The sequence below is a fragment of the Homo sapiens genome, chromosome 7 (genome assembly GCF_000001405.40).
Source record: "Homo sapiens chromosome 7, GRCh38.p14 Primary Assembly".
Lineage (NCBI taxonomy): Eukaryota > Metazoa > Chordata > Mammalia > Primates > Hominidae > Homo > Homo sapiens.
Genome location: NC_000007.14, coordinates 63,290,062 through 63,304,316, shown reverse-complemented (window position 1 = coordinate 63,304,316; position 14,255 = coordinate 63,290,062). Strand labels below are relative to the sequence as shown.

The following is a 14,255-nucleotide window of genomic DNA, read 5'->3' as shown; positions in this document are numbered from 1 at the left end:
GCCTGGCTCAGATCAAGGAAGAAGCCCTGCCTGTGAAGGCTGCAGCCTAGGCTGTTATTTTTGCTTCGCTCAGCCCAGTGTCTGATCAAATATTCCCTCACTCAGGGCATGAAGGGTGGGGCCTGAAACCTTATCCAATCAGGAGCCGTGGTCTAGAAACTGTCCAATCAGGCATGCAGCTGGAAAGAACAGGCTACTTCCGTAATTTTGCGGGTCCTTTGTGTTTTTCTGCGTCCAGAGCTGCAGTTCTTCTCTTCACTGCTCTGTGTCCTCTGCTCCTAGAGGCCAAGCCTATGTGTCCTTGTGTCCTGCAGGTATCTGCAGATTTATGGCTAAAAGACCGGGACCCCCTGGAAGCCGGGAAATGGTGAGTGCTGGGTCTGTCATCGTGAGAGAGGGGTGGGGGCTGGTTGGAACCGGCAGAAAGTGGCTGTAGCAGGTCCCAGACTTTCTCGCAGTCAGCTCCAGAGCCTGACGACCCAAATCGTCTTTGGCCCAGCTCGGCTCTCGTCCCCTCCAGCCGCAAGATGGTGCCTGGGCCAGCGCCTGGGACCCTGGGATTTCTGTCTTTTTCCTCTGCAGTGGCTTTACCCTGGACTGGAGGCCTCTCTGGTTTGCTCTGCACTCCCAGCGCCTCATCTCACCCAGATTGTACAGGGATGGGAAAGTCATCAGGGGAGAATCCTGACTCAGGGTGCAAGATTCATGAGTGGAAAGAGCTGTGGTCCTGGGGTCCTTAGTTCCTCATTTTTCCTTTTAGAGATGTACGGGAGTCACTCTAAAAATGAGAATCTGATCAAAGTGTGATTCAAGAATCATAGAGTGCCCAGCTATGGTTTGTGGGTTGTGATCCATGGGAGAGACTTGAAGAAAAGTCTGTTATAAGTTTCATGACGAAGCAAACCAGATTCAATAATTGGTTTGGTACAGTTATGTAGTTTATTTGTGAGATCCAGGTAAAAATTTCTTGGTTATGTCATCAGAGATTAATTGGCAGGCTGTGGTTGCCTAGGCTTGAATATTTTCTTCAAGATAGTAATTTCCAAGAAATGCTTTTTTTTTTTTTTTTTTTTTTTTTTTTGAGAGGGAGTCTCGCTCTGTCCTCCAGGCTGGAGTGCAGTGGTGCGATCTCACCTCATTACAACCTCCGCCTCCCAGGTTCAAGTAATTGTCCTGCCTTAGCCTCCCGAGTGGCTGGAATTACAGGTGTGTGCCACCAGGCCCAACTAATTTTTGTATTTGTAGTAGAGACGGGATTTCACCATGTTGGCCAGGTTGGTCTCCAACTTTTGGCCTCAGGTGATCTGCCTGCCTCAGCCTCCCAATGGGCTGGGGTTACAGGTGTGAGCCACCGCACCCAGCCGATTTTTTTTTTTTTTTTTTACCTTTTATTTTAGGTTCAGGGGTACATGTGCAGGTTTGTTGTATAGGTAAAATCATATCATGAAGTTTTTGTGTACAGATTATTTTATCACTCAGGTACTAAGCATAGTACCCAACAGATTTGTTTTCTGATTTTCTTCATCCTCTGATCCTCTACCCTGAACTGAGCCTCAGTGTCTGTTGTTCTCTTATTTGTGTCCACGTGTTCTCATTATTTTGCTCCCACTTATAAGTGACAACATACAGTTTTTTATTTTCTGTTCCTGCACTAGTTTTCTAAAAATAACGGTCTCTAGTTCCATCGACGTTGCTGCAAAGTACATGATGTTGTTCTTTCTTATAGTTGCATCCTATTTCATGGTGTTTACATACCACATTTTCCTTATCCAGTCTACCATTGAAGACATACAGGATTATTTCTTGTTTTTGCTATTGTGAATCGTGCTGTAATAAACATACGCGTGCATGTGTGTTCATGGTAGAAAAACTTACATTCACTGGGTATGTTCCCAATTGCGGGATTGGGAATGGTAATTCTGTTTTCAGGTTTTTGAAAAAATGCCAAGCTGCTTTTCTCAATGGTTAAATAAATTTATACTTTCACCAGCAGCATATAAGCATTCAATTTCTCCACAACCTCACAAGCATCTGTTTTTGTTTTTGTTTTTACTTTTTATTCTAATTGTTTTTATTTGAATTATTTCTTTTTTTCCCATCAGTCTAGTGTTTTATCTATCTTATTATGTTTACATTGAATCAACTTCTGGTTCCTTTGAATTTTTTTTTTAAGACAGAGTTTCACTCTTACACGCAGGCTGGAGTGCAGTGGTGCGGTCTCAGCTCACTGCAACCTCTGCCTTCCAGTTTCAAGCAATTCTCCTGCCTCAGCCTCCCGAGTAGCTGGGATTACAGGCATGTGCCACCACGGCCAGCTAATTTTTGTGTTTTTAGTAGAGATGGGCTTTCACCATGTTGGCTAGGCTGGTCTCAAACTCCTGAACTCGTGATCTTCCCGCCCTGGCCTCCCAAAGTGCTGGGATTACAGGAGCGAGCCACAGCACATGCGTGGCCCATTGAACTTTTTATAGTTATTTATGTCTCAAACTTCTTCATTTTGGCTCTGATTTTGGTTATTTCTTGACTTTTGTGAGCTGTGAAGTTGGTTTGCTCTTACTTTTGAAATTCTTTTAATTGTAACATTAGATTTTTAAATTGAGATCTTTCTAACTTTTTGATATGGATGTTTAGTGATATGCATTTTATTCTTAACACTGCCTTAGCTCTAACCCTGAGATTCTGGTATGTTGTATTTCGGTTGTAATTAGTTTCAAAAATTTTATTTCTGCCTTAATTTCATTATTTCCAAAATAGCCATTTGGAAGCTGATTATTCCATTTTTATGTAAATGCATCCTTTCACATGTTTTTTTTGTATTGAATTATTCTATACATTTTCTTTTTAAAATTAATGAGAAAGATAAGAAGAAATAAAAATGCTGTGCTCTTAATCTAAATGCTAAAAATTATTCAGCACTTAGTACCAACTCCCAGGGTGCTATGAAAATTAAATCACAAAATGTGTTATTCCCAGCGCAGTGTTCTGTGACATGCTCCTGAGCACACAGTACCTGCTTAGTAAACGTTTTATTAGTACATGTGTACAGGTTTCCCAGGTGCAGATTCACTCAGACGTTGCTGTCTTCTGTTGTCCCTGTAAACTTAAAAAAGCCAACAAAAATATAGCATTTCAGGGTGGAAATTGGTTGTTTTTATTTGTAGCAGAAGTATTAGTATTGTGACAAATGTGGTGTGTGTAAGGGACTCTGCTGTGCCTGCTTTCTCTTGCTAATGCTAATAATGTGTCTGGGAAAGCACAATCAGCATTTACAGGGGACTTGCTGTAAAAGCCCATTCCTGGACCCTTTTGGATCCTGCAGAATCACGTTGCATAGAGCGGGGCCAAGATTACCAAGTGATTTATAAACTTGAGGGGTTCAAGATACATTCAGGAGAGTTTAGTTCAACCTTTGCCTCAAAGGAAGGCTGCACTGCCTGCCCTGTTTCAGTTTGGTAGGAAGAGGTCAGTGCGGTTCATGTTCCCATTACTCTAAAGAAAATTGCTGGTTTCTGATAGGGGAGGGCAGAGACAAAGAAACTTATATTTTAATAGCTGTGGAGAAGCTCATTGTTCTCTCATTGCTCTTAAATCTTTTCAGTTATAAACAACAAAAATGGGTGAATGTTTTCTGCAAGTCTCGGTCTTCCGCCCGTGGGTGTGTGTGGTGGTAGCAGGTGAATAGGTTGCACTTTAAAGTCATATTCTCAAGATGCAGGTTTGATATGTCCAGAGCATCTTATCTGAAAATACATTTCAGAGAAAGAGGAGGAAAAGAAACAAATCACTTTTTCTCAGGTGAGCATGTCTCAGATCAAGCGCAGTGTCCACTCTGCCTTTTGGAATGCCTTGTGTTCAGAACTTGCAAAGTTTTACTTCTCTACTCGTGCTGTTGATCCCTAATGAGTTTGTTTCAACTATTTTTTGTGATTTTTATGATAGTCAAGGGGTTCTGAAAAAAATATTTGTTTTCTCTATGCCATAGCATTCTATACATTTCTCTTCATCTTGGATTCTTGTATATCATGCAGAATTCTTACCACAAATTTATGACCTACGATATATAAAATGTTCCCATTGTAGCTGTTGAACATTAGAAGGTGTGGATACTCAAGATTTCTATTGGGGAAACACCGTTGTCTTTGGAGATTAGTGAAAAGTGAAACATGTTATATTGAGGTTTCATCTGTGTGCTCTATTAGTTCCATGCAGAACAGCGTTTAGAAAATGCTCATTTAAACAGGGTGGCATTTATTATACAGAAAGTTCTGAAAAAACTGTTAGGAGATACTTGCTTTCCAGGGTGCTAAGGAAAGACTCCTTAAAATTACTAATAAAAATTGCAGAACAGGGAAGTTATCTGCACCTTCAACTTTGCATAAAACTGATGTTTCTTTATGATTAAATTTAGGCCAGGCGCAATGGCTTTGGCTTGTAATGCCAGCACATTGGGAGGCCGAGGCAGGCGGATCACGTGAGGTCAGGAGTTCAAGGCCAGCCTGACCAACATGGTGGAACACCATCTCTACTAAAAAAAAAAAAAATTAGCCAGGCATGGTGCATGCACCTGTAATCCCAGCTACTTGGGAGGTTGAGGCAGGAGAATTGCTTGAACTCAGGAAGTTGAGGTTGCAGTGAGATGAGATGGCACCACTGCACTCCAGCCTGGGTGACACAGCGAGACTCTGTCTCAAAAAAAAAAAAAAAAAAAAAAAAAATATATATATATATATATATATAATAAAATTAAATGTAGATTATAATTTACTTTTCTGAGAGGAGAGAAATGCCACAGCAGTGATGCTGTGTTGTGTGTGCATCAGCACATAATAAAAATGTGTCCTAATAAAGTTGATAACAATTTTATTCACTTGGTTCAAGATCTCTATGACATTTTTTTCCACTCTAGAGTTAATTCTTATTCTCTTAATTATTAAGGACACTTAGGAGATTTACTAGCTGAAGTGCATAAACCGTTGCATTTAATCTGGAAGCTGTCCTTTCCTTTTAGATGACTTTTGCTTATATTTGTCTTTTAAAAATGAAGGCTCTTATCTTTATTTACAGGTGAGAGAAACTGGGAAAAACCCAAACTCTGCCATTTACTGGATATTTGACAAAATATTCTTACTAGGCTAGAAACATTGGTGAGCTTGCTAAAAATTCAGAAATTCAGACTTCCTCCGAAATCTCCTGAAACAAAATCTCACAAGATCTTTAGTTATTGCACATACTAAGACTTGAGAGGTATCTTCCAATTCATCATGACTCTTCTATCTGAGAAATATACACAACTTATTCTATATGATGTAAATATAGCACTCAAAAATGGACATGTCCGGCCAGGTGCAGTGGCTCATGCCTACCATTCCAGCACTTTGGGAGGTTGAGGTGGGTGGATCACCTGAGGTGAGGAGTGCAAGACCTGCCAGGTCCACATGGAGAAACCCCGTCTCTACTAAAAATACAAAAATTAGCCAGTCATGGTGGCTCATGCCTGTAGTCCCAGCTACTCAGGGGGCTGAGGCAGGAGAATCGATTGAACCCGGGAGGTGGAGGTTGCACTGAGCCAAGATCATACCACTGCACTCCAGCTTGGGCAACAGAGTGAGACTCGGTCTCAAAAAAAAAGAAGAAAAGAAAAAGACATGTCCATGTTGATGCCCTTAATTTTATAATGTATCATCCAGAAAAGTATCAAATCTACAGTGGTATTGTGGATCTTATGCTATCCTCTTTTCTCAGAGTTAGAGAATACTTCAGTGTTAAAAATTATCTTATTGAATAATTTTAGTCACTCTTGTAAGTGAGAACCACTTCTTTTTACTCTCTTTTTTAACTTGAGTCAAATAAAAATCTCTGCCTATGGCCATGTGGTAAGTGCTTGTGTGTTCATGAGTGGTTTTGCTTGTTTGTTTGTTTTCCAGGGACTGTTGACATTCAGAGACATAGCTATAGAATTCTCTCTGGAGGAATGGCAATGCCTGGATTGTGCTCAGCGGAATTTATATAGACATGTGATGTTAGAGAACTACAGAAACTTGGTCTCCCTGGGTGAGGATAACTTCAATACATAATTCCTAATATATTGCTTTTCTCTTTTCTAAGATGTTTTTGGTAATTTCTGCTTTGCATGAATGAATTTTAGATCTCCAATTTTAAGAAAATCTTGGGGATTCATTGCTGTAGAACAAATTCTTCAAGATGTTTTATCTTGACCAGAACTTTTGCCTTTCCTGAGCTTATGTATCTTTTGCTCTAGGTTAGTGGGAATTCCAAAAATGCCATGGCATAAAAGATCGTTGCCCACACATTAGAATTCAGTTGCTGCCACCAATTTTTGATTCAGTAGTACTGAGTAGTGAAATTAAGGACCTACAAATTTAAAATATTTTCTGAATATTTAGAAAGTTCTATTATGAATCAATATTAATTTTCTAGAATTTTCTATTATATCCTCTAAGCATAATACTAATTTGGTAATTAAAGAATTCAGCATGATCTATGTTACTTTTTTTTCTTAATAAAACAGGTATTGCTGTCTCTAAGCCAGACTTGATCACCTGTCTGGAGCAAAATAAAGAGTCCCAGAATATAAAGAGAAATGAGATGGTAGCCAAACGCCCAGGTAGGTGAGAGCAAATGAAGCAGATGAGACAGATGAGAGGTACACAAATAAAGGAGGCAGCCAGTCCTTAAAATGTGGTCTGGGGAGCTGTCCTTTGATGAAAAGAGTTTCTGAGAAGCTCAAGTCATTTTTTCCTTTTGCTCTCACATAGGGACACCTCCTGCCTCATGCTGTTAAAGTCTCTAAGGATTCCACTTCTGCTTCAATAATCTTTCTTCAGGTTCACAGTGTGAGCCAAAGTTTTCTTTAAAGGTTATCAGGGACTGCGCAAACTGACTGCTTTGCCATTGCTTTTGGGGACACACTAATATCTGCATATTTTTGGAAAACTCTAAACCATTAAAATTTTTTTTTTGCATCATGTCTAAGATGTGTGAGAATAGTAGTTTCTCTTTCATTGGTGGTCATCCATTTTTCTGCACATGCCATTCTGTTTTTATTACTATAGCCTTGAAATATATTTTAAAGTTTTTACAAATTTTTTACAAATTGTTTAATTTTTTATATGTATTTATTTATTTAGAGGCTTGGTTATCCCCCCACTTGCACTTGCTGTGGGGGGATATGCAAGCAGGGTACCTTTTATGCCTTCATTTTACTGTGTTGCATATTTTAGATATAGACTCATAAATGGTATTGCTGTATTATATAATAATTTCATTTTAGATTATTTAAAGAATGCTTATGATGTTTTTATGATGGCTGTATCTTTTTTCTCATAAAAAACAACTTACATAGGTTTCAATTTCTTTACATCGTCAACAGTTGGTGTTTTAAAAAAATTTATAGTGGCCATCCTAATTGATGTAAGGTGATTTTGTTTTGTGATTATGTTTTGCATTTTTCTATAAATTATTAATTTTGTGCAACCTTTCAAATGCTTCTTCCCCTTTGTATATCTTTTTTATTAAAATTTAGTTTAATCATTTTTCCATTTCTTTCTTTTTTGAGACGGAGTTTCACTCTTGTTTCCTAGGCAACAAGAGCAATGGCACGATTTCAGCTCACAGCAACCTCTGCCTCCTGGATTCAAATGTTTCTCCTGCCTCAGCCCCCTGAGTAGCTGGGATCAGGGATGTGCCACCACACCCAGCTAATTTTGTATTTATAGTAGGGATGGGTTTCGCCATGTTGGTCAGGCTGGTCTCGAATTCCTGACCTCAGGTGATCTGCCCACCTCAGCCTCCCAAAGTTCTGGGATCACACGTGTGAGCCACCGCACCTGGCTCATTTGTCCATTTCTAAATCAAGTAATTCAATTATTGTTGTCTAGTTCTAGGAGTAGTTTATGTATTCTCAATATTAAGTCTTATCACATGTGATTTTCAAATATTGTCACCGATTTCTTGGGAGACACTGTCACTCTATTAAATGTTTTATTTGATTGCAGAAATTTTGAAGTTTAGCCCAATTAAATTTTTCTGTTCTCCTCTTTGTTGCGCATGCATTTGATGGCATATCTAAGAAAATGTGCCAAGACCAATGTCATGTCTTTGCACTATACTTTTTTTCTAAGAGTTTCATTAGGTTTTTCTTAGTCTAAGTACTTTGTTTAAAATATTTTTTGTATGTGATGCAATTAAACCATTCAACTTCATTTTTTTCAATGTAGATGTCCAGTTTTCAACATCATCTGTTGAAGGGATTATATTTTCTCCATTGTCTGCTCATGGCAACCTTGAGGCAGATTATTTGGTCATACACAGAAGAGTTCATTGCTGGGCTTTCTATTTTGTTCTATCATGTCTTTATCTGTCTTTTTGTGAATACCACATAGTTATTGTTATTGCAGCTTTTTATTATGTTTTGAAATTATGAAGTATAGTGCCTCTGTGTTTTTCATGTGTGTTTCTCTAGATTTGGTTCATAATAAAATTTAAAAATTTTAAACAATATTTCAGGAATAAATATACTTTTGGAATTTTGATACAGATTATATTAAATTTGTTCACCACTGTGGGTCTTAACAAATTAAGTCATCACTTAAATATGTTGGCCCTTGAGAAAAAATATTAAATTAATTTAAATTATTTGACCCTGTGCAAGAATACAGTGAAGAGTGTGTTTATTTCCATGTATTTTTGATTTGCCAGTATTACTTTTTTTCTTTTTAGTTTTATTCAGTTTGGGTTAGAAAACATATACTGTATGATTTTGCTCTTCTTATTTTTTTTTTGACTCAGAGTTTCTCACTCTGTTTCCCAGACTGTAGTGCAGTAGCACAATCTTGGCTCACTGCAGCCTCAACCTCTTGAACTCAAGTAATCCTTTCACCTTGGCCTACTGAGCAGCTGGCATTGGAGGCATACCCCACAATGCTCAGCTAATTTTGAATTATTTGTAGAGACAGGGTCTCACTGTGTTCCCAAGGCTAGTATCAAACTTCTTGCCCCAAGTGATTCTTCCACCTTGGCCTCCCAAACTGCTGGGATTACACCTGTGAGCCACTGCACCTGGCTGATCTTTTGAAATTTACCAAGACTTATGTGTTCTAACAGAATGCACCAGGTGCAAATAAGAATATTGTGTATCTACTTGCTTTTGACTGGAGAGTTCTGTACATGTCTGTTTAGCCTATTTGGTTTGTGATATGGTGTAGATGCCCTCCAAATGGCATGTTGAAATGTAATCTCCACTGTTGGATGTGGGGCCTAATGAGAGCTGTTTGCATCATGGAGACAAGTCCCTCATGAATGACTTGGCACAATCATAGAGTTCTCACGCTATTAATTCACATGAGAGCTGGTTGCTTAAAGGAACCTGGCTCCTCCACCTCACACTCACATCGTCTTTCACCATGTGACATGTTTGGTTCTTCTTTGCCTTCCACTATAATTGTAAGCTTCCTCATATCCTCACCAGAAGCAGATGCTGGCATATACTTCTTGTGCAGTCTACTGAACTGTGAATCAAAAAATCTTTTTCTTTATGAATTACCCAGTCTGAGGTTATTTTCTATAGCAATGCAAAATAAATTCATACACAATATAATATTCTTCAGGTTTTCAGTTTTTTTAATTGATCTTTTATTTAAATTTTTTATTTATTATTGAAAAGGAGGTCTTAATGTTTATAATTTTGTGTTGCTATTTTATTTCTTGCTTCATTTCTGTCAATATTTGCTTTATATGTTTTGAAGCCCTGATGTTATATATGCATATACATGTAGATAGACATAATAATTATAGATTCCTAGTAAATGGACTCATTTTACCATTATATAATATCAATCTTTGTCTCATGCTAGTAATTGACTCATTTGCTTTCGTGTGTCTATAAAGATTTTTTCTTTGTGCTACATTGGAGATTCTGTAAAACATCTTAAATGTTACAACAGTATATTTTAAACTGGTAAAAAAAAATGACTTCAGTTGCATAGAAAAATTTGTCCTCATTATATCTACCCTATACTTCTTATTGATGTTGCTAATTATATCTTTTTATGTTTTATGTTTTTTATGCTTATATTTTTCAAATTTTAAAGAATAACTAAAAGTATTTTCTGCACCATCACAATAATGCCACAGAATTTTACTTTTTGTATATGCATATGTTTTTCAGAAAGTTATGTATTTTCATATGATTACATATATTTTTCATCATGTTGTTTTAAGTGGAAAGACCTCTTTTCAGCATTTTATGTAGGGCACATACAATGATTATGTGCTTTTCCAGCATTTATTCATTCTGGAAGAGTTTTATTTTTCTTTATGTTGTAGTACATTTTTCTGGTTTTATTATTCTCACCATGAAAATTTTTTTCAGCCTTTGACCATTTTACACAGTTCTTTTCTGACCTGCAAGGTTTCTGTTTACAAATTCACTGGTTGTCTCAGAGGACTATGCTTATAAATAATACTTCACTTTTATCTTGCAGCTCCCAAGATTATCTTCTGGTTTGTGACTTTTGAAACTTTGCTTAAATTTGTGTTGCGGATCTTTTTGTGTATATCCTAGTTTGTTTGTTTAGCTTCTTCATTTTTTACGTACTTTTTTCTTACTTTTAAATTTTTTCAGTTATTCTTTTTTACCTCCACCTTGTTTATTTTTATTATTGCAAGTTTTGTTGGTATTCTTATTTTTCTTATTTTATTTAGGTGTCTGGTTTTCCATTTTTCTCATTGAGCATAATATGGATTATCTTAAATTTTAAAAATCAAGATGTACATCTTTATTTTTATAGTTGCTTTTTCAAAATTTTTGATTTTTTTGATTGGACCATGTTGTCCTCATGTTTTATATACATTGTAATCTTTGTTGGAGATTTAGACACTAACATAAAACTACCTTTCATGATCTTTATAATGCAGCTCCTTCCTCTCATAGCATGACACCAATTGTCTTTGGTAGAGATTCTGGGATTCTCACAAACATGTTCTCAGGATGTGTTTTGTCTGCAATTTGTATTTATTTTTCAATTAAAAGACTTCTTCATATTTCTTCTTAGTGGTCAGTAACTACGTTCTACACCTATCTTCTACCCATCATACTGCAGTCTTTCTGCGGTTGTAACATTCACTTTTGAGCTCAGAAGACTTAAAGCTGTTATTAAAGGCACTATGTTCTTCTACTGGGCATGAGGAAGGGCTGTGTTGGGTAAATGTAGCAGACCTTTCTTTTCTCTCTATATGGCTCTGGACATCGTGCTCACATGGTGCACACACTTACTTTATTTATAAATTTCCAACAAAGGTATTTTGATCACTATGATTTTGTTACATTTATACATCTATGAAGGAATTATGGCCTGTGGTATTTTGATATGGCATTTTGCTAATGTACCTTGTGTAATTTTATATATTTCATGTGTAGAATACATTTATATGAGTCCAGAAAGTGGAGTAACTTGTGCTTTTTGTGTCTTTCAGTTACGCATTCCCATTTCACCCAAGACCTTCAGCCAGAGCAGGGCATCAAAGATTCACTCCAAAAAGTAATACCAAGAACATATGGAAAATGTGGACATGAGAAATTACAATTTAAAAAATGCTGTAAAAGTGTGGGTGAATGTGAGGTGCCCAAAGAGGTTATAGTGAAGTTAACCAATGTTTGTCAACTACCCAAAACAAAATATTTCAGACTCATAAATATGTCAAAGTCTTTGGTAAATTTTCAAATTCCAATAGAGATAAAACAAGATATACTGGAAAGAAACATTTCAAATGTAACAAATATGGCAAATCATTTTGCATGCTTTCACACCTAAATCAACATCAGGTAATTCATACTAGGGAGAAGTCCTACAAATGCAAAGAATGTGGCAAATCCTTTAACTGCTCCTCAAACCATACTACACATAAAATAATTCATACTGGAGAGAAACCATATAGATGTGAGGAATGTGGCAAAGCCTTTAGCTGGTCCGCAAACCTTACTAGACATAAGAGAATTCATACTGGAGAGAAACCCTACACATGTGAAGAATGTGGCCAAGCCTTTAGGCGCTCCTCAGCACTTACTAACCACAAGAGAATTCATACTGGAGGGAGACCCTACAAATGTGAAGAATGTGGCAAAGCCTTTAGCGTATCCTCAACCCTCACTGACCACAAGAGAATTCATACTGGAGAGAAACCCTGCAGGTGTGAGGAATGTGGCAAAGCCTTTAGCTGGTCCTCAAACCTTACTAGACATAAGAGAATTCATACTAGAGAAAACCCTATGCCTGTGAAGAATGTGGCCAAGCCTTTAGCTTATCCTCGAACCTTACTAGACATAAGAGAATTCATACTGGAGAGAAACCCTACACATATGAAGAATGTGGCCAAGACTTTAGGCGCTCCTCAGCACTTACTATCCACAAGAGAATTCATACTGGAGAGAGACCCTACAAATGTGAAGAGTGTGGCAAAGTCTTTAGCTTATCCTCAACCCTCACTGACCACAAGAGAATTCATACTGGAGAGAGACCCTACAAATGTGAAGAATGTGGCAAAGCCTTTAGCTTATCCTCAACCCTCACTGACCACAAGAGAATTCACACTGGAGAGAGACCCTACACATGTGAAGAATGTGGCAAAGCCTTTAATTGCTCCTCAACCCTTATGCAACATAAGAGAATTCATACTGGAGAGAAACCCTACAAATGTGAAGAATGTGACCAAGCTTTTAAGTGGCATTCAAGTCTTGCTAAACATAAGATAATTCACACTGGAGAGAAACCCTACAAATGTGAATAATGTGGCAAAGTCCACCCTCAGGCCTTATAATACATAAAATAATTTACACTGGAAAAAAACACTACAAATGTAGAGAATGTGGCCAAGCCTTTAACCAGTTCCAAACCTTAATTGAACGTAAGAGAATTCATATTGGACAGAAATTTTATAAATGTAAAAAAATGTAACAAAGCCTTTAACCAACCCTCAAACCTTAATAAACCTAAGAGAATTTATTTTAAAAAAATTTTTTTGAGTTGGAGTCTCCCTGTGTCACCCAGGCTGGAGTGCAGTGGCATGATCTCAGCTCACTGTAACCTCTGCCTTCCAGGTTCAAGCGATTCTCCTGCCTCAGCCTCCTGAGTAGCTGGGATTACAGGCGTGTGCCACCACACTGGCTGATTTGTGTATTTTTAGTAGAGATAGAGTTTCACCATGTTGGCCAGGCTGGTCTTGAACTCCTGACCTCAGGTGATCCACCTTTGTCAGCCTCCCAAAGCCTAAGAGAACTTATATTACAGAGACCCTAGAAACAAAAAAAAAGTGACAAAACCTTTAAGCACATCTCAGGCCTTACATAATATCTGATCATTCATTCTAGAGAGAAACTCTACAAAAGCAAAGAATGTGGTAAAGCTGTTAACTAGTCTTGAACCCTTATTATACATAAGAGAATTAATACTGAAGAGAAACCCTGCAATAAGCAATATGGTAATGTCTTTAAAAAGTCCTCAAACCTGAATAAATGTAAGATAATTGATATTGGAGAGAAACCCTGCAATTGTAGAAAAAAATGTGGCAAACCCTTTAACTGGTTCTCCATGCTTACTCACTAAAAAATTTTATACTGGAGAGAAACTCTGCTTACATAAAACTGTGACAGAGCATTTAAGCACACCTCAAACTTTTCTAAAAAAGAGAAATCATACTGGTGAGAGACTCTAGAAATGTGTTAAATTTAGCAAGGACTTTAAATGGTAGTCACACGTTATGGTAGTAAGATAGTTTATACTGAAGAAGACTCCTACAAATATGAAGAATGTGGCAAAACTTTTAACAAATTCTCACACCTTATGGTACAGGAAAGCATTTATACTAGAGAAAAATTGTACAAATACAAAGAATGTGAAAAGCCATTAATATCAGGTCACATCTTACTCAATATCAGAAAGTTTATACTTAATAAAGGGATTATAGGTCAGGTGTGTTGGCTCATGCCTATAATTCCAGCACTTTGGGAGGCCAAGGTCGGTGGATCATGAGGTCAGGAGTTCAAGACCAGCCTGGCCAACATGGTGAAACTCCATCCCTACTAAAAATAGAAAAACTAGCCGGGTGTGGTGGCGTGCACCTGTAATCCCAGCTACTCGGCAGGCAGAGGTAGGAGAATTGCTTGAACCGGGGAGGCAGAGGTTGCAGTGAGCTGAGATAGAGCCACTACACTACAGCCTGGGTGACAGAGCAAGACTCCG

At 37.6% G+C, this 14,255-nt stretch overlaps 1 pseudogene across 1 annotated transcript; it reads left to right on the top strand.

The window, feature by feature from the left end:
• Positions 1 to 260: 260 nt before the first annotated feature.
• Positions 261 to 13,030, top strand: ZNF733P (zinc finger protein 733, pseudogene; annotated as a pseudogene). The gene is made up of 3 exons (NR_003952.1): positions 261 to 367; positions 5,925 to 6,051; positions 11,494 to 13,030. The product of NR_003952.1 is annotated as a zinc finger protein 733, pseudogene (transcript).
• Positions 13,031 to 14,255: the final 1,225 nt, after the last annotated feature.